The 18715-nt window shown below is 48.0% G+C and overlaps 2 long non-coding RNA genes across 3 annotated transcripts; one reads left to right on the forward strand and one right to left on the reverse strand.

Moving 5' to 3' along the window:
• Positions 1-22: 22 nt before the first annotated feature.
• LINC02818 (long intergenic non-protein coding RNA 2818) lies at positions 23-16785 on the reverse strand. Of its 2 annotated transcripts, XR_001738312.3 has the most exons (3): positions 15996-16785; positions 8592-10012; positions 23-646 (listed from the first exon to the last, which is right to left on the reverse strand). It is a non-coding gene; the product is annotated as a long intergenic non-protein coding RNA 2818 (long non-coding RNA). The 2 variants fall into 2 exon arrangements; XR_007066758.1 differs by lacking the exons at positions 8592-10012; positions 15996-16785 and adding an exon at positions 5444-5798.
• Positions 1456-2986, forward strand: LOC124904463 (uncharacterized). The gene is made up of 2 exons (XR_007066759.1): positions 1456-1732; positions 1830-2986. It is a non-coding gene; the product is annotated as an uncharacterized LOC124904463 (long non-coding RNA).

Here is an 18715-nt window from a genome sequence, read left to right on the forward strand (position 1 = left end):
GCCAATAAGTTGAGAGAAGGTGTTGGGGTAAGGAAGATGACTTTATTTCTGGGAGCTTCCAACTGAGAAGATGGAGGACCAATGTCCTAAAGAACATTTTTTTTTTTTTTTGTGAGTCGGAGTCTCACTCTGTTGTCCAGGCTGAAGTGCAATGGCACAATCTTCAGCTCACTGCAACCTCCACCTCCTGGGTTCAAGCAATTCTCCTGCCTAGGCCTCCCGAGTAGCTGGGATTACAGGTGCCCGCCACCACTCCCAGCTAATTTTTGTATTTTTAGTAGAGATGGGGTTTCACCACAGGCTGGTCTCTTGGCCAGGCTGGTCTCGAACTCCTGACCTCGTGATCCTCCTGCCTAAGCCTCCCAAAGTGATGGGATTACGGGCATGAGCCACCGTGCCCAGCCAGAACCAACTTAGATTGATAGATTTTTTTAGGCTTCTTTCATATTAGAGGAAGAGGGACCATGCAGGGGGTGAAGGTCTGGAGGTGACTGGAGGCCACAGACATCTGGCTGTCATCAGGGGTCCAAGGAGGTTGCAAAACTTCTTTGTTCATGGTCAACTGCTTGTCAGATCCACCTTGTTGCTCTAAGTCTTTCAGACAGCACTGTTACTTGAGTGCACACTTCCTCATCTCCTCAGGAGTCTGTTTCAAAAGAGAGGTGGTCATTAGTACTAGCGTTAAACTGTAATCAAAATGCTTTTCGTGGTTAGCTTGGCCTGTGTCTAGGGATGAGCAAAGGCAGTTGGCTTATGAGGTTAGAAGCAAGATGGAGTCAGCGATGTTAGATTTCTCTGGCTGTTACAGTAGGATATACAGACAGAACCGAATCTGGAGGCAGCAGGGCCCCCCACAGGGGCTACTTAGGCAACAGGAAGGAAGGTTCCCTCTGGGCTCTCCCATTCTCCCCACTGCACCAATGTCCACACCTGCACTCAGTCCCTCCTCCCTCGTACTACTTGGTTCTCCACCCAGTGAGCTGCCGGGCGATGAAGGACGGATGGCCGTTGGGAGGTGGAGAGAGGGGCCAGCTGGGGCCAGCCTGTGCCACTACTGCCAGGTCCACCTCTCTCTCTGTGTGGAACCTCCCACCTCTGCCAGTAACTCTGCCTGTGACTCACTGAGGGACCCATGCTCCCAGCAACCTATGACTGCATTTTGGCCTCATATGTGCCCCAATAAACTGAACGAATGAAGGAGAGCATTCATATTTCAACTAAGAGCACAGATCTCTGCTTGGAGACAGAGACTCACTCTGTCACCCAGGCTGGGGGTGCACTGGCGCAATCCCAGCTCACTGCAACCTCCGCCTCTGGAGTTCAAGTGATTCTCCTGCCTCAGCCTCCCGAGTAGCTCGGATTACAGGCACCTGCCACCATGCCTGGCTAATTTTTGTATTTTTAGTAGAAACAGGGTTTCACCATACTGGCCAGGCTGGTCCCAAACTCCTGACCTCAGGTGATCCACCCGCCTTGGCCTCCCAAAGTGCTGGGTTTACAGGTGTGAGCCACCACACCTGGCTGCGCTTCTTGTTTCACTAGCTTTCGAGTTCAAGTCTTGGGTTTGAAAGCTGGTTCCGAAAGGAGTCAGAAGACCCCCAGCTCTTCCTCTTGAGCCCAAATTCTTCGGCCCATCCATCCCTGGCTCCACTGGGCTTCTCCCAGAACCTGCCACACATTCTGGCTTTCCTACTACCAGAAGTGGGCAGGGACTCCAGATATCACTGAGCAGGTGAGAGGGGAAGGAAGGGCAGGAGAGAGGAAGCCCAGATGTGCAGGAGGGAGGGAAGGAAACGGGCTCAGGCAGAACACCATCTGCATCTTCACAGTTAGGAAACCAAAGGAGAACCACCTGGAGGACTGGACCTGCCACACGCCTGTCGCTCCTGCCAGTACCGGCTCTAAGGGACCTGCCTTCCTTCTGCTCTGAATCCTCCTCCCTCGTGTCCTGCCGGGCTCCACGGAGAAGCAAGAGGGACGATGGCACAGCTGCACACCCAAACCTGTGGGTCACAGGGGGCTCCATTCCCCTAACCATCAGATAGTCGCTTACATCCCATGGATATAAACTTTCAAGAAATAAAATTAAGGTTATCTTTCTCTATTCAGCTTACAAATGGTTCAGCTGACTCTGCAGCCCTGCTGCACCCCTCTTCATTTGACAGACACAGATGCTGCTTTACTTACAATGGGGCTACGTCCCAATAAGCCCATCCTAAGCTGAAAATATCATAAGTCAAAAACTGATATAGCTAACCTACCAAACATCACAGCTTAGCCTACCTTAAACATGCTTAGAACACTGACGTTAGCCTACAGTTGGGAAAATCATCTAACACAAAGCCTATTTTATGACAAACTCATGACTATCTCATGTAATTTATTGAAAACGTACTGAAAGTGAGAAACAGAATGGTTGTATGGGTGCTCCAAATGTGGTTTCTACTGAACATGTACTGTTTTTGCACCATCATAAAGTCAAAAACTTGTAAGTGAAACCATTGTAAGCTGGGAACCATCTGTGCTGGTTTTGTCACACTACTTACTGTGTGATTTAGGCAAGTCTTCTATGTAATTCTAAGTTGTTTGGGGGAATGTCATATGAACAGACTTATCTCCACTTCAACATGAGCTGAGGTAGCTTTCCTGGTTCTAGGCAACTGAAATAAGGGAAATAAAACTCTGGGGACTGAATTCTGCCAGTTCTATAAAACAGTATCAAACCTCTACTGACAGCCTTGGAGGAGGATGACCGGCAAGATTTGAACAGCCACCAAGCGCCACCAAGCTCCCCCAACCACCTGCATGCACCTGCCTTCATCTCTTCTGGGCCCTTCCATGGGTGCCAGTGGAGCAGGGCTTCTTCAAAGCAGCTCTCAGCACCTTTGCCTTTTCCCCTTGACCCTTTTCTTAGGGGGAGTGAAGCGTACTTTTTAGAAGTACTATTTCTGCTAGAAGAAATAAAAGCTGTAAGTATGCTCCTTAATACTTTAGTCATGAGAGTTTTTATTCTAGATCCAACTGAACAACTTGAGCTTGAACAGAGGCCTGACACCCTCACAAAATCTTCTGAACTCTTCCCTCAAGCACAGGGGCCCAACCAAAGGGACAGGCCTTCTCCAGGTAAGCAGCGTATGCTGTTAGCCACCAAACAGTCAGCTAAGGAGGCCATGGCTCAGACCCCAGGGAGGGGTATCTCTAACTCTTCCCAGGCAGGAATCTTTTTTTGTTGGTTATTTATTTATTTATTTATTTATTTATTTATTGAGATGGAATGTCACTCTGTCACCCAGGCTGGAGTGCAATGGCGTGATCTCGGCTCACTGCAGCCTCCGCCTCCCAGGTTAGAGCGATTCTCCTGCCTCAGCCTTCCAAGTAGCTGGGATTACAGGCACCTCCCCCACCACACCTAGCTAATTTTGTATTTTAGTAGAGTTGGAGTTTCACCATGTTGGTCAGGCTTTTTGTGATTAGCTTGGCCTGCATGTAGGGATGAGCAAAGGCAGTTGGCTTATGAGGTTAGAAGCAAGATGGAGTCAGCGATGTTAGATTTCTCTGGCTGTTACAGTAGGATGTACAGACAGAACCAAATCTGGAGGCAGCAGGGCCCCCCACAGGGGCTACTTAGGCATCAGGAAGGAAGGTTCCCTCTGGGCTCTCCCCTTCTCGCCACTGCACCGATGCCCACACCTGCACTCAGCCCCTCCCCTCAAACTCCTGACCTCAGGTGTTCCACCTGCCTTGGCCTCCCAAAGTGCTGGGATTACAGGCATGAACCACACCGTGCCTGGCCCAAAGCAGGAATTCTCAGGCAGGCAGAGCCCTGGAGAGAGGGATGGGAGGAAGATGAGAGGAAGGATGGAGGCCATCTTTTTAAAATTTATTTTTATTTATTTTATTGAGACAGGGTCTCACTCTGTCCTCCAGACTGGCGTGCAGTGGTGTGATCATAGCTCAGTGTAACCTTGAACTCCTGGACTCAAGCAATCCTCTCACCTCAGCCTCCCTAGTAGCTGGGATTACAGATGCGTGCCACCATGCTCAGCTAATTTTTTGTAGAGACATATTCTCACTATGTTGCCCAGGCTGGTCTCAAACTCCTACCCTCGAGTGATCCTCCCTCCTCGGCCTCCCAAAGCCACCATGCCCAGCCAGGAGGTCATCTTCATGTTCCTAGTCCCTGAAAGGCAAGATCTTCTAAAGCAGCTCCATTCAGGCTATAAAAAGCTCAACCTTCTCCAAATATGTGAAATTATTGTCCAACAAACATGTTCCAATACATTCAGCATAAAGACACCTGGGATTATTCATAAGGATAACATTTCTGCTTCTAAACTCATTTGTTGGGCAGCCCTGAACTCTTCCTGAAGCTTAGGAAATGGACATCCAGCCAGGGCCGTGCCCTAAGCAAGGCAGAAGCCACCCCTGCAGAAAATCCCCCTCCACAATCCCAGGTGCCTCGCTCCCAGGATATCATTTGCCAAGGGTGGCTAGTCCCTGCAGGGAGCCTCTCCTAGGCCTCCAGGGAACTGCTTGGCCTCCCACTTCCTCTCTATCCTGTCAACAACTCCCCCCTCTCCCCACACCAACAGAGGGAACCCAGCCACAGCTGATAGATGAGGCAACCCTGAACTCTCAGGGGAGAGGACAGTTCCGGTCTCCACAGGGGTGGATGGCCAGAGGCTGGGTGGCCAGATTGCACTAGGCATGTGAGGTTGCCTTCCCATCCAGGTGTAGACAGAAGACGACGTGGCTCCCCCGGCCCTGGCCACAGGCACCTGAGCGTGTCTGGGACTCAGGTGCAGGCCTTGGGTACAAGCCAGGTCTGCATCCACTCTCACCCATCCCTGCAGGGACCGCCCTCCTGGGCTTTGCCTTGACCCAGAGTTTTTCCATCCATTGGGAATTAGATCCTTATTCCTAAAACTAGCAAAGAACCACTCACTCCCCCAACAGGATGTTTGTTCTGGGTCTAATGAGACATTTTGAAATTCAAGTCCTCTGAACTCTTTCCCCAAACTAAAGGGCTCCAGAATGATTAGAAGACTCCAAACCCCAGGCCCCTGGATACTCGGGTTCCCACCAGCTCCCCCGCCCTTCTCTTAACTCTGCCTCCCTCCCACCCTGCCTGGCCCCTCATGTCCCCATCAGAGGAGGAGTCATGAGCTGGTGAGAATGAATAGGAGGAACCTAAAAGAGAAAAATTAAGAATTGAGAATTTTACAAAAGATGCAAGTTATAATATAAAATGGAAGTAAAGAAAAACTGGGAGGACACACACACAAAAACTAATAAAAATAGTTTCCTATTGGGAGGGAGCAAGGAATAGAAGACACAGAGGCAGAAATGAGGCTTTTCAATTCATGCCTCCTTGTTATTTTGGTTTTTGTCAGTCTGCATTTCAAAAAGAAATTTTTCCGAGTACAATTATACAAAACCCCACCTGAGAATTGAGTGCATTCTGCGTATTCTCCCGCAGGGGCAAGACGACGGAGGTATCTGCTGTGATCATTGAGCCCTGAAGGATGCCTTGTTAGTGGAGAGCGGCCTTCAGCACATCCTGCGTGTCTTAGGACAGGACATGCCATGCCTTCCTGCTCTGGAACAGGGACTTGGCTCCCTTTGAGCCTCTCTGGGGGCTTTCAACAGGCAAAGGGCCTGCTATGCTCCAACTGCTGAGCAATTTTCTCCCCACAAGGTCAAGGGCAGAAGGCTAGAGTGAAAAACAGTGGCAGCTGGCACAGGTTCGTTCATATTGTATGAATTTTTTTTGTTTTTGTTTTTTATTTTTTTGAGATGGAGTCTCACTCTGTCGCCCAGGCTGGAGTGCAGTAGTGTGATCTCGGCTCACTGCCTCCTAAAGTCCTGGGATTACAGGCATGAGCCACCGAGCCCGGCCTCCAAAGATTTTTCATCACTCCAAGCAGAAACTCTGGAACCATTCATGTTTGAATTATTTTTAACAGATATGTTCAATTTTTGTATGTCAGCAAGGCCTGGAAGTAGGTTCATCTTGTCGGGAGGATGGGGCTCAGTAAATCTGTAGGTAGGCAGGATGATGAGGGGTCATCCCTTCTCTTTCCCCAAGTTGAAATCTCCTAAGCAAACACTGACTTCAAGGAACTCCAAATATAAAGGGATTGGAATGCAGCTTCACAGCCTGTCCTGGGGGACACGTTGGGGCGGTTCACGCAGGCAGCAGATTTTAAGATGAAAAGAAAGGGGATCTAGACAGTGGAGAGACGTGAGCGAAGCAGGGCTAGAGGAGACCAAAGTGGAGAGAAGGCAGTGAGACACCTGGGAGGGGGAAGGCGCAGGGCAAAGGAAACAGTGGTGGGGTGGGCGGCTCAGCCTTATGCGGCCTGGCCTGGCCTCCTTCCTCCCAGGCTGTGAGCACACTGAGGTCCTGGGCTGTGCCAGCTGAGGAGATGGATGGCAGAAGCCTCGGGGCAGACCACTCACAGGTCCCCAGGCAGAAGCTGTTCACTGGGGTAGACCCCACAGCCTTCTCTCCAGGCCTTGCTGCACTGGGCCATCTCCTCGTGGTCCCAGGATGTCCCAGCAAGCGGAGCACTGACCACAGGAGTAGGGGTGAGGGAACAAACCAGGCATACACTCCTGGCATCGCCAGACCTTGGCCCTGAACCCCACCCAAACGGATCCATTTAAATGATCCTGAGGTCTAGGAACCCGCTGGGATTCGACAGAAATGTGAGCCCATCAGGTATTCAAAAAGGGTCTGTGCCAGTCCCCCAAATAGTTTAAAAACAACAACACTAGAAATTTTCTCTATCCACCTGGAATGAGTTTTCGGTTACAATTCTGACCCCATGCACCCTCCTCCACCCACCCAAATCCTACCTGTCCTTCAAACCTTGTCCAGGATTCTATGATTTATTCCCCTGAGGCCCCTGGAAGCAATCACTCCCTTTTCTGGATAAGCAAAACATCCTCTCTCCACCTCCCCGCGTGTTGCTGGATTGCTGGTATCTGGCATGCCCTATATTTTCCCTTGCGGACAGGTTGTTCCTTGAGGCTGGATTCCCCACTGCACTGGCCCCAGCACCCAACACAGGCCTTGCACACGCTTTACAGCCAGCCAAAGCCAGCTGAAGGAACCAGATGCACTCCTGTCTTTCATAGGCTGGAGGGTTTTTTTTTTTCTTTTCAATGTCTTTCACTGTGGTAAAATACACATATAAAGCTTATCACCTTCACCATTAAGTGGGCAGCAGTTCAGTGGTATCAAGCACATTCATAATGTGTGACCGTCACCACCATCCACTGCCGTGACTCTTCATCTTGCAAAACTGAAACTCTATACCCATAAAACAAAAGCTCCCCATTCCCTCAACCCCCAGCCCCAGGCAACCACCATTCTAACTTTCTGCCTTTATGATTTTGCCCACTCTAAGTGCCTCACATAAGTGGAATCATACGGTATTTGTCTTTTTGTGAATGGCTTATTTCACTCAGCATAACGTTCTCAAGGCTCATCTCATGTGGCAGGTCGGAATTTCCCTCCTTTTAAGGCTGAATAATATGTCATTGTATGTATGCTATACTTTACTTATCCATTCATCTGTGGATGGATAAATGGGTTGCCTCCACATTTTAGTTACTGTGAATAACACTGCTATGAACATGGGTGTAGAAATACATCATTGAGAGCCAGGCGCAGTGGCTCATGCCTGTAATCTCAGCACTTTGGGAGCCTGAGGTGGGCAGATCACCTGAAGTCAGGAGTTCGAGACCAGCCTGGCCAACATGGTGAAACCCAGTCTCTACCAACAATACAAAAATTAGCCGGGCGTGGTGGTGGGCACCTGTAATCCCAGCTACTTGTGAGGCTGAGGCAGGAGACTCGCTTGAACCCAGGAGGCGGAAATTGCAGTGAGAGGAGATTGCGCCATTGCACTCCAGCCGGGGAGACAAGAGGGAAATCCCATCTCAAAAAAAAAAAAAAAGAAAAGAAATACATTGTTGTTGAGACCATGCTTTCCATTCTTTTGGGAATTCTACTTCTGTCCCTAGAAGTAGAGTTGCTGGATCATGTGGTAATACTATTTGTAATTTTTTGAGGAACCACCATCCCCATCCCGTTTGCCACAGCAGCTGCAACATTTTGCGATCCCACCAACAGTGTCCCAGAGTTCAATTCCTCCACATCCTGTTAGGTTACAAGCTTTAAGAGGATTAAATACTGGGGCTTCATTTACACCCAAGCACATGATGATGGCAGAGGTTTAGTAAGATTGTAGTTTGAACTCCTGGGGAAAATGATTCCACAGTCCATTTGCAACAAACGGGGTAATTTGAGGACTTGGAGCTGGGGCGTCTGCTCGGACCTGTACCTCAGAGCACTCGGAGACCTGCCAGGGCTTTCCTCATCAGCTTCATGATCTGGAGCACGAAGTATTGAACAACCAAAGCCACACTCCTTTGGTAGCATCTGAGTTTTCAGTTTCTTTCTCCCTGCTTCTCTGAGCTTCTTCCCTTTTGGGAATTACACAGCAATCGGGACCAACCTAACAAAACTAGCTGGTCATTTATAGATTCTTCCAGACTGAAACTCCCCAAAGCCAACTTACCCAATATGGTGCCACCACCCTTCTTGCTTCCATGTCCAGCTGTGAAAGGTAGGATTCTAGAGCCACTGGCAGCAGTCTGGAGGTCAGGGCTGGGACTTTTTCAGGTGCAGGTTTTTCAGGAGCTGCTGACTGACCTGGGTATCCAGGTCCAGAGAGGTATCCACAGACACTGCTGTCTCCCAAAGGCAGTGGCATGAAACCAAGAGCACTGCAGCAACGTAAAGCACCCTGAGTGGCCAGGCAGGGCTGCAAGCACATGAGGCCATGGTTCTCTCCTGGAGTGGACACACTGAGGACAGTCAGCCTCTTGGTACATCAGTAGCAACTGTAGCTCTGCCCCTTGCGCAGGAGCATGGGGAACAAACACGCATCTGTCCAGCCTGAGACCAGTGTCTAGAACCATTCCCAGCCCAGCCAGTGGAGACTCCAGGGCCAATCCCTCTACTTCCAGCTGCACATCAGGCCCTGCTTCTGGGCTGTGCCTGCCCAGCGGCTCTGCTCACCCTGCCTCCTCTGCTACTGACTCCACAAAGCCCCTCAGGCCCAGCTGGAAACCTGGAAGTGGCATTTCCCTGCTGCTGACATATCTGATAGTACTTGGACTGGCGGGGACACGGGGTGCAGTTTGGATTCTGGGATAGAGCACAACGGACCTCTGCATCATGTGGGTGGGAGGTGCAAGGGAGCGCCAGAGTGAGGGCTTCCATCAGCCCCCGGCATGGCCCTTCCCAGGCTGCCAGTCCTGCAGTTATGGGTGCCGTAGACAATATGCACCTCCAAGCGGGGAGATGAGGTGGTGTACTCTGTAAAACAAGAATGCTGAGAAAGCCTCATATGGAGGCAAACAGCCATTTCCCACACCCCCAGATAGTTCAATGGTAGGTTCTTGTAAATACTGTACTTCCCTGGCTCACTAAGGTTTCCCCACAGTGGAAAGACCAGTGGCCTTGGGCCCAGGATCTAGGTTCTGGGCTCAGGTCTACACTGTAACCTGTGGCCTTAGGCAGTCACTTAGCCCCTTGGTTTCCCCATCTGCAAAATGACCCTTTCAGTCATTCCATGTTACTATTTCATGCCCCCTTTTGTTTCCTAGACTTTCTTGACTTACAGGCCTCTAGGCAAAGAAACTCAAAGCCAAAGTGTAAGAAACCTATTAGTGACCCAAGTCCAGTCAAATGAAGCTAGGACATTTCAATAAAGACGAAACAACTTGATTTTCAGAAATCCAACTCATCTACAACTTTCAGGAGTCTCCGTGTTGCATGAAGTTATGTAGAAAGGGGCCGGAAACGATCATTCTCTTGGTGAGCCCAGTGGTTTCCTCTACGATTGAGTCCACAACTTTGACCCCTGAGATCCGTTACTCTAATGGTGAACCGACGTGCTCCTACGCTGAAGTGTGCAGTAAGCCCAATCCGTGCCTGGATTTTGAAAAAACTGCCATTAGAGAGGAGAGTTAACAGAGAGAAAACTGTTTATTCAACTAACATTTATTGAGGACCTAAACTAGACACCAAACGTTTGTGTCAGGTGTTAGAGAAATAAAAATGAAAATGCCACCCCTGCCCTCAAGGAGCTTATTAAATTCCAGGGTGGAAAATTAACATGTATTTTCACAGGTGAGCTACTAAACCTTCCCAGGTATTTACTTGCTTGAGACTAAAATAAGCTACAGTGGAGACTGCAGGTAGAAAGTGGAGTCAGGTGTTCAAAGACTGGCCATAATCAGAGACTGGTGGGTCCATCTGCCTGCCAAATGTGGAATCATGACTTTAGGAAGCTGATGTTAGCCTCAGTGTTTCTTTCCCACCAGACTTTGTCCTCGGGAAAAGAGTGAAATTACTACGGATGGGTCTAGATCACTAGAGGAGGGGCAGGGAGCTATTGATCAAAGCATTTTTTAGACAGTGAAGACAGACTTGCTACCAAGCAATGGGCTTACTGCCCGACACACAGAGAAGCCAATACTATGGCTTTGGGCTTTGAGAAAAGAAAGGCTGGCCGGGCACGGTGGCTCATGCCTGTATTCCCAGCACTTTGGGAGGCCAAGGTGGGTGGATCACGAGGTCAGGAGTTCAAGACCAGACTGGCCAACATAGTGAAACTCCGTCTCTACTAAAAATACAAAAAATTAGCTGGGCGTGGTGGCAGGTGCCTGTAATCCCAGCTACTCAGGAGGCTAAGGCAGGAGAATCACTTGAACTCGGGAAGTGGAGGTTGCAGTGAGCCGAAAGCACACCACTGCACTACAGCGTGGGCGACAGAGTGAGACTCCATCTCAGAAAAAAAAAAGAAAAGAAAAGAAAGGCTTTGTTCTGAGGTCAACTGCTAAGGGGACAGCAGGCAAAACTCAAATCTGCCTCCCATATCTGGGTTTTGGGGCAAGTTTTATGGGTTAGGAAGGACTGGTTGGTATGTGAAAGTGCTGGCAGGGCAGGATTTGATTGGAAGGACTTCAAATGAGACGACTTTTGGTAAGGCATGGGGAGGGGTCTTATCACCAGAAATTCCTAGACAACTGACCCCCCACTTTTGAAAATGTTCCAGTGTTCAGGTTCCACATAAGTCCCAAACGTTTAGTTCCATGGTTGGGGAAAAGACTTTAGTTCCCAGTGTCATTTGAGGTCGAAGTTTTCTTTTCTGTGCATGCCCTGGCTGCGTAAGTTGCAACTTCTTAGCTCTGTGTCTGCAAAATAACTGGCCGTTCTGTTATCCACAGAGTAGGGCCAGATAAGACTGGTCTGGTGGTTACAAACTGAAATTCAACCAGAGATGGATGCAGATATACAGAGGATGTGCTAGGTGAAAGGCTACAGTCTTGAGAAGGTAGACAGAAATAATGTGGTAAATGAAAGCAATAAGAGGAGAAAGAAGACAGATGCTAAGATATGCTCCTGACCATTAGAATTACAGAGTTCTAGGGCTAGAAGGACCGTCAGAGGTCATCACATCCACCTCCACCTCAATGCATGACCACAGAAACCATCTGACAGGAAAGGGTGTGTCCAGTTTTGAAGGATAATCAAACAATCCTGGAGTGCAAGGTGTTCATTACAGAGCAAAGCCAGCCCTGGAAGAGCCTGACCCATGGGCACTCAGCAACTATTATTGAGTCAACCAGCTGCAAAGGCTCAAGGGAAGGGGTTTGCATTTGCCCTTCTCATTCCTCTCAGAAACTCAAGCACCTGCTACCTCGTTGTAAAAGGGAAGAAAAAGACTGAGCTACGCAAGATACGTAGGCAGAAGATACTTAAAAAGGGGTTATAACTCCCATGCGTTCATTTCTTAGACACTGGAACCACACAGGGACTAAAACAGGAGACCCAGGAGTGGCTACAGGATGGGAAAGAAGCAGATGGAAGATGCAGGACTTCCTACATCTTTGTGATTCTACAAGAAAGTGTGTTTACAGGAGCTGGATAAATGTAGCAGGCTTTGGCCACAGGGGCACTTGGATCTGTACCCCACATGGCTAACAGAGCCAAAGCCCTGTCACAGCACTGTCGTGGTTGCAGCCATGAGGCCAGATCACAGCCAGCCCAAGGCAGTGTTGAGGATGAGGAGAAGGTGGAATCTGGCACCCCTTGGCGGGGCAGCTGCAGGTGGCCGTCGTAGTGAATCAAACCCAGCAGGCACCACTCAACAAAACTACCTTCACCTCCCAGATAGCCACAGCTCACTGGGCCACCGTCATGCTTCAGCATCACCTCAGCAAACAAGCCAGTTCTCACTCCAGTTTTTAACATTTTAAGAATGTGAAACTAGAGCAAATTTCAAATAACAAGGCATAGTTGTGGTTTTCCTCACAGGGATGTTTCTACTCCTCCTATTGGCACCTGCTTTAAACATTAAGTGGAACATGTGATCTCAAAACCACTGAACGACTTTGATGTTCGGGATGAAAAAGAAAAGAGTGAAGATGGTAAGCAAGGGACCATTTGCTAATTTTTCCCAAATGCATCTGTGAACCCCTTCCCCCATAAAACAAATTGGTTTGCTTTTTAATATGGTGTGTTTTCTCCAGATGACTGTGAAAATTCCTGCTCATTGATGCTACCAGCTGGGACTGGTGGATGGAGAGTTAATCAAAACAACTACGTAAATCTACAGGTTCTCATCCTTCCTCTGCAAAAGGTTGTCTATGCACCAGAACAAGCCATCTCTCTAGTCTTTATTTAGTGTTTTGTGTGACAAAAACTTACATGCAATGCTGCCCACCAGGAAGTAAGGTAAGGCAAAATGATGGGGACTAAATGCTGTCTGAAAAATAGCCACTCCAGCCTGAGCAAAGTAGTGAAACCGCATCTCTACAAAAAAAAAAAAAATTTTTTTTTTTTTTTTTGGAGACAGTTTCGCTCTTGTTGCCCAGGCTGGAGTGCAATGGTGCAATCTTGGGTCACTGCAACCTCCGCCTCCTGAGTTCAAGTGATTATCCTGCTTCAGCCTCCTGAGTAGCTTGCATTACAGGCGCCCACGACCACCCCTAGCTAATTTTTTGTATTTTTAGTAAAGACGGGGTTTCAGTATGTTGGCCAGGCTGGTCTTGAACTCTTGACCTCAGGCAATCCACCTGCCTTGGCCTCCCAAAGTACTGGGATTACAGGCGTGAGCCACCACGCCAGGCCAAAAAAAATTTAAAATTAGCCAGGCACGGTGGTGCATGCCTGTGGTTCCAGCTATTCCAGAGACTGAGGGGGGAGGATTGCTTGAGCCTGGGAGGTCGAAGCTGCAGTGAACTGTGTTCGTCCCACTGCACTCCAGCCCAGGTGACGGAGCTAGACTCTGTCTAAAAAAAGAAAGAAAGAAAAAAGAAAAACCCTGCTCATGGTCTTCACCCAGTTTTTACTCCCCATCAGACTACAGCTCTTCATCTCTTCAAGACCCTTCTGCAAAACAGCTGCTGCATCCCCATTGGGCCTGAAAGGGTCACCCCCTCAGATGAGAGGCATGTTTGCATTTTCTTTCTACCTGGGTTTTGACCTGGGTTCTGTGCATGAAAATTTGTCAGGGGACAACCAGCCCAAATCACAGCTGGGAATATCATTATCTGCTGCAATGAGTAGCAGATAATGACCCATAGGGCCTAGTGGATTAATTATTTCTAATGCAGGGCTGGTTTCTCCTCCTGTATCCTCTTCGAAGCATGCTGCTACAAAGTCTCAAAATGTTGATCCACTTGGAGACTTTGAACAGCATATTGCTTATGGATACCCTATTGTCAGCAAAAAAGGACATCCTCCCAAACTATATATTCTTAGTCCTATTTCCCATAGATAAAAGAGGGAGGATCCTATTCAAAGGTTACAAACCTTGGGGTGGAAGGAAATATTCACCCAAACCATACGAGGGGCTTTTTTCTCCGTATGTCATTAGGATAGCTGATGTTCAACTCAGTTGTTGGCACATGTGGGTATTCGGTAAATATTTGCAAATTGAATGTGTAGCCTCATACCCAAGATTACAGAAAGCAAAAAAGTCGGGAGACAAAAGGATTACAGAATTAGGAATACTTGGAGAAGAACTAAGGACCACCAGTGGCTTTGGTATGAGGGTGTTTATATTCTCATTCTAGGAATAAATATTTTCACAGATCTTCTATTATTCAACATCATTTGTAAGATAATCCAGTAGAGAGGGGTTTCCTTTCACAGAAAACCATGGCAGTTAGGAAGCAACTCAGGCACTGTTTATCTCCGCGAGGGTCCTCAGTGAATTGAGTCGTTCCAAAGATGAATAAAGATTCCTTGTTTCCAGAAAATGGAAGGAAATCTCACAGTGCTGGAGGGAATAGGGGAAGCAGAGATAATCCATTCTCATCTTTCATATTTGACTATGAAAAAGAATTGGTATTTTAAACAAACTTAGAACTTCACCAGATGTGGGTTTTTAGATTTGAGACACAACACTTTCTAGCTGCTTCCAGCCATAGTAAAATCATAAAAACAAAGCTACCCAGAACAGAGTTTGCTTGCTTCTTGGATATGCAGACTTAATGTCATGAAGATGCCAATTTCCCACCAGATCACTAGAAAAATTAATGCAATCCTATGAAAAATATTTACTTTTTAGACAAGGTGATTTTAAAGTTCATTTGAAAGAATAAGTAATAATGCTAGAAAAATTCAGAAAAAAAAAATGAGCCACCACCAGATATTAAAGCCACAATAATTAAAACTGTGTGGTACTTATGCCTAATCAGCCAGGTCAATGGATCAGCATAGAACATTCAGAAAATAAGCACAAATACATATGAGAATCCAGTATGTGACAAAGTGGCATTTCAAATCAGTGAGGAAAAGATGGATTCTCAATCAACTATGTTTGAACAGTTATAGCAATTCAAATGAAGCATGTCATTGATTTGTTAAATTTGAATATTCACTTTCAAATATATAAATGCAGTCTATAATGTAACTTGAAGTGGAAATCACCTTGTGTGCATTAAAAATCTACCATTCAATTTAATAAACAGTTATTACTGCAAGAATAAAATGCTGCAATAATTTATGATCAAGAAAGTTTATGTACAAAAATTATTATGAACCTGAAAATAAGGAAATAAATTGGCAGTCATTAACATTGAGATATATTTAGAAAAATATTAGATTATTTTTCAAACAAACACCACATATTAAAATGTAAATAATACAAAGCAGACAAAAAATTAGACATAATTATCATCTTCATATGATTATTTAGGGTACTTTTAACAGAATAGTCTTTAAAAACTGTATTTAACTTTGTTTAGGCTATGAGTCTTAAAAAAAAAAAAAAAGTCCTATTAGGAATTCTTCACATTTTGTAAAGATGTATTAAAAATGTCAACTTTGTCCAGATGCAGAGCCCCAGGCCTGTAATCCCAGTACTTTGGGAGGCTGAGACGGGCAGATCACAAGGTCAGGAGATCGAGATCATCCTGGCTAACACAGTGAAACCCCGTCTCTACTAAAAATACAAAAAATTAGCCAGGCATGGTGGCATGCGTCTGTAGTCCCAGCTACTCGGGAGGCTGAGGTGGCAGAATCGCTTGAACCTGGGAGGCGGAAGTTGCAGTGAGCTGAGATGGTGCCACTGCACTCTAGTTGGGCAACAGAGCGAGACTCTGTCTCAAAAAAAAAAAAAAAAAAAAAAAAAAAAATTAGGCTCAGGGCTGTGCTCCTGTAGTTCCAGCTATTCAGGAGGCTGAGGCAGGAGGATCACTTGAGCCCACGAATTTGAGTCCAGCCTGAGCAACATAGAGCTCATCTCTAAAAAAAAAATTATGAAACTGACTTGTAGCATACTTTATATAAGACATTCAAACAAGATGTTTTTTTAAAGGCTGTGTGAAAACTAATCACTGAATATTTGCAGATAACAATACCAATATTGCAGGGCTTCTAACAAGCAATTTGTATACATAACCTGGTGAGCCTCACGTGGAGAACTCGTAGCTCCAAGCCGCCAGCAGCCTGTCTGACTTCAAATGCAGGGTCCAGTAGGCCTGCGACTTCAGCCCTGCTCACCACTTGGGAGTTTTTATTCTGTTTCTGATCCTCAAAGATGCATCTTGTTTTTGAGCCTAGCTCTGTCTTCTAAAATTTTCCTTGAAATATTTTACCTATTATTGTTATGTGTTTGGAGTTTCAGAGATGTGCCAACTCCAGGTGAAAGCTTCAAACGGCATCTCATGTAATATTGTGTCTGCAATTGGAGGGTTCTCGGTCTCACCGACTTCAAGAATGAAGACGCGGACCCTCGCGGTGAGCGTTACAGTTCTTAAAGGCAGCGCGTCCGGAGTTTGTTCCTTCTGATGTTCGCATGTGTTCGGAGTTTCTTCCTTCTGGTGGGTTCGTGGTCTCGCTGGCTTAGGAGTGAAGCTGCAGACCTTCGCAGTGAGTGTTACAGCTCTTAAGGCAGCGCGTCTGGAGTTGTTCCTTCCTCCCCGTGGGTTCATGGTCTTGCTGGCTTCAGGAGTGAAGCTGCAGACCTTTGCAGTGAGTGTTACAGCTCATAAAGGCAGTGTGGACCTAAAGAGTGAGCAGCAGCAAGATTTATTGCAAAGAGCGAAAGAACAAAGCTTCCACAGTGTGGAAGGGGACCCGAACGGGTTGCCACTGGTGGCTCGGGAAGCCTGCTTTTCTCTTATCTGGCCCCACCTACATCCTGCTGATTGGTCCATTTTACAGAGAGCCCAGCGGTCTGTTTTGACAGGGGGCTGATTGGTGCATTTACAATCCCTGAGCTAGACAAAAAGGTTCTCCACGTCCCCACTGGAGTAGCTAGATACAGAGTGTGGATTGGTGCATTCACAAACCCTGAGCTAGACACAGGGTGCCGATTGGTGTGTTTACAAACCTTGAGCTAGATACAGAGTGCTGATTGGTGTATTTACAATCCCCTAGCTTGACATAAAGGTTCTCCAAGTCCCCCACCAGAGTCAGGAGCCCAACTGGCTTCACCCAGTAGAGCCCCCACCGGGGCCGCAGGTGGAGCCGCCTGCCAGTCCCACGCCGTGCGCCCGCACTCCTCAGCCCTTGCGTGGTTGATGGGACTGGGCGCCGTGGAGCAGAGGGCAGCACTCGTTGGGGAGGCTCAGGCAGCACAGGAGCCCACGGAGTGGGGGAGGCTCAGGCAGCACAGGAGCCCACGGAGTGGGGGAGGCTCAGGCATGGCAGGCTGAAGGTCCCAAGCCCTGCCCCACGGGGAGGGAGCTAAGGCCTGGCAAGAAATCGAGTGCAGCGCCAGTGGGCCGGCACTGCTGGGGGACCCAGTACACCGTCCGCAGCCGCTGGCCCGGGTGCTAAGCCCCTCATTGCCTGGGGCCGGCAGGGCCGCCCGGCTGCTCCGAGTGCGGGGCCCGCCAAGCCCACGCCCACCCGGAACTCCAGCTGGCCAGCAACTGTCGCGCACAGCCCCAGTTCCCGCTCGCGCCTCTCCCTCCACACCTCCCTGCAAGCTGAGGGAGCCAGCTCTGGCCTCCGCCAGCCCAGAAAGGGGCTCCCACAGTGCAGTGGTGGGCTGAAGGGCTCCTCAAGTGCCACCAAAGTGGGAGCCCAGGCAGACGAGGCGCCGAGAGCGAGCGAGGGCTGCGAGGGCTGCCAGCACGCTGTCACCTCTCAGTATGATAATAAAAGATGTTACTGAATTAATGGTTTATCTTAAACATTGATTTGTATACTTAAGAATTAGTGATCCTAGAAAGTGTCAGATATAGGTCAAAAAGACAAAGTGTCTTTTTTTTTTTCCTGAGACGGAGTCTTGCTTTGTTGCCCAGGCTGGGGTTCAGTGGCGCCATCTCGGCTCACTGCAACCTCCATCTCCTGGGTTGAAGCAATTCTCCTGCCTCAGCCTCCAGAGTAGCTGGGATTACAGGCACCCACCACCACGGCTGGCTTTTTGTATTTTCAGTAGAGGCAGGGGTTTCACCATGTTGGCCAGGCTGGTCTTGAACTCCTGACCTCATGCTCAGCCCACATCAGCCTCCCAAAGTGCTGGGATTACAGGCATGAGCCACTGCGCCTGGCCTTTTTTTTAAGACAGGGTCTCACTCGGTCACCCAGGCTGGAGTGCAGTGGTGCAATCATGGCTCACTGCAGCCTCCACCTCCCCAGGGTCAGGTGATCCTCCCACCTCAGCCTTCTGAGTAGCTGGGACTTACAGGCATGTGCCACCACATTCAGCGAATTTTTGCATTTGTTTTAGAGACAGGGATTTACCATGCTGGCCAGGCTGGTGTCAAACTCCTGGGCTCAAAGGATCCACAAACCTCAGCCTCCCAAAGTGCTGGGATTACTGGCGTGAGCCACCACGCCTGGCTAGTGTCTCATTTTTAGTGTGTGTATGGGGGCCTTCTGTGAGCCCTAAAGTCATGTGGGCAGATTCCACAGTAATGAGTGCCCTAAACATATACATAATACGATCTGCCTACTCATTTCCTTTTCTTAAAGTAGATAATACCTTGGACCAATAGCTAAGATCTTTTCTGTTTAGCTTGATGGAGCTGCTTCTGCACCAAACATTCTATGACTCGAATTGCAACTTCAGACTTAAAATCATTTTTATTGTATCCTGTTTAAAATGACAATTCCTACAGCAACTAAATAATTCATAGCCACTCACTCCCTTATTAATCAGTATTGAGG

The sequence above is a fragment of the Homo sapiens genome, chromosome 1 (assembly GCF_000001405.40).
Source record: "Homo sapiens chromosome 1, GRCh38.p14 Primary Assembly".
Lineage (NCBI taxonomy): Eukaryota > Metazoa > Chordata > Mammalia > Primates > Hominidae > Homo > Homo sapiens.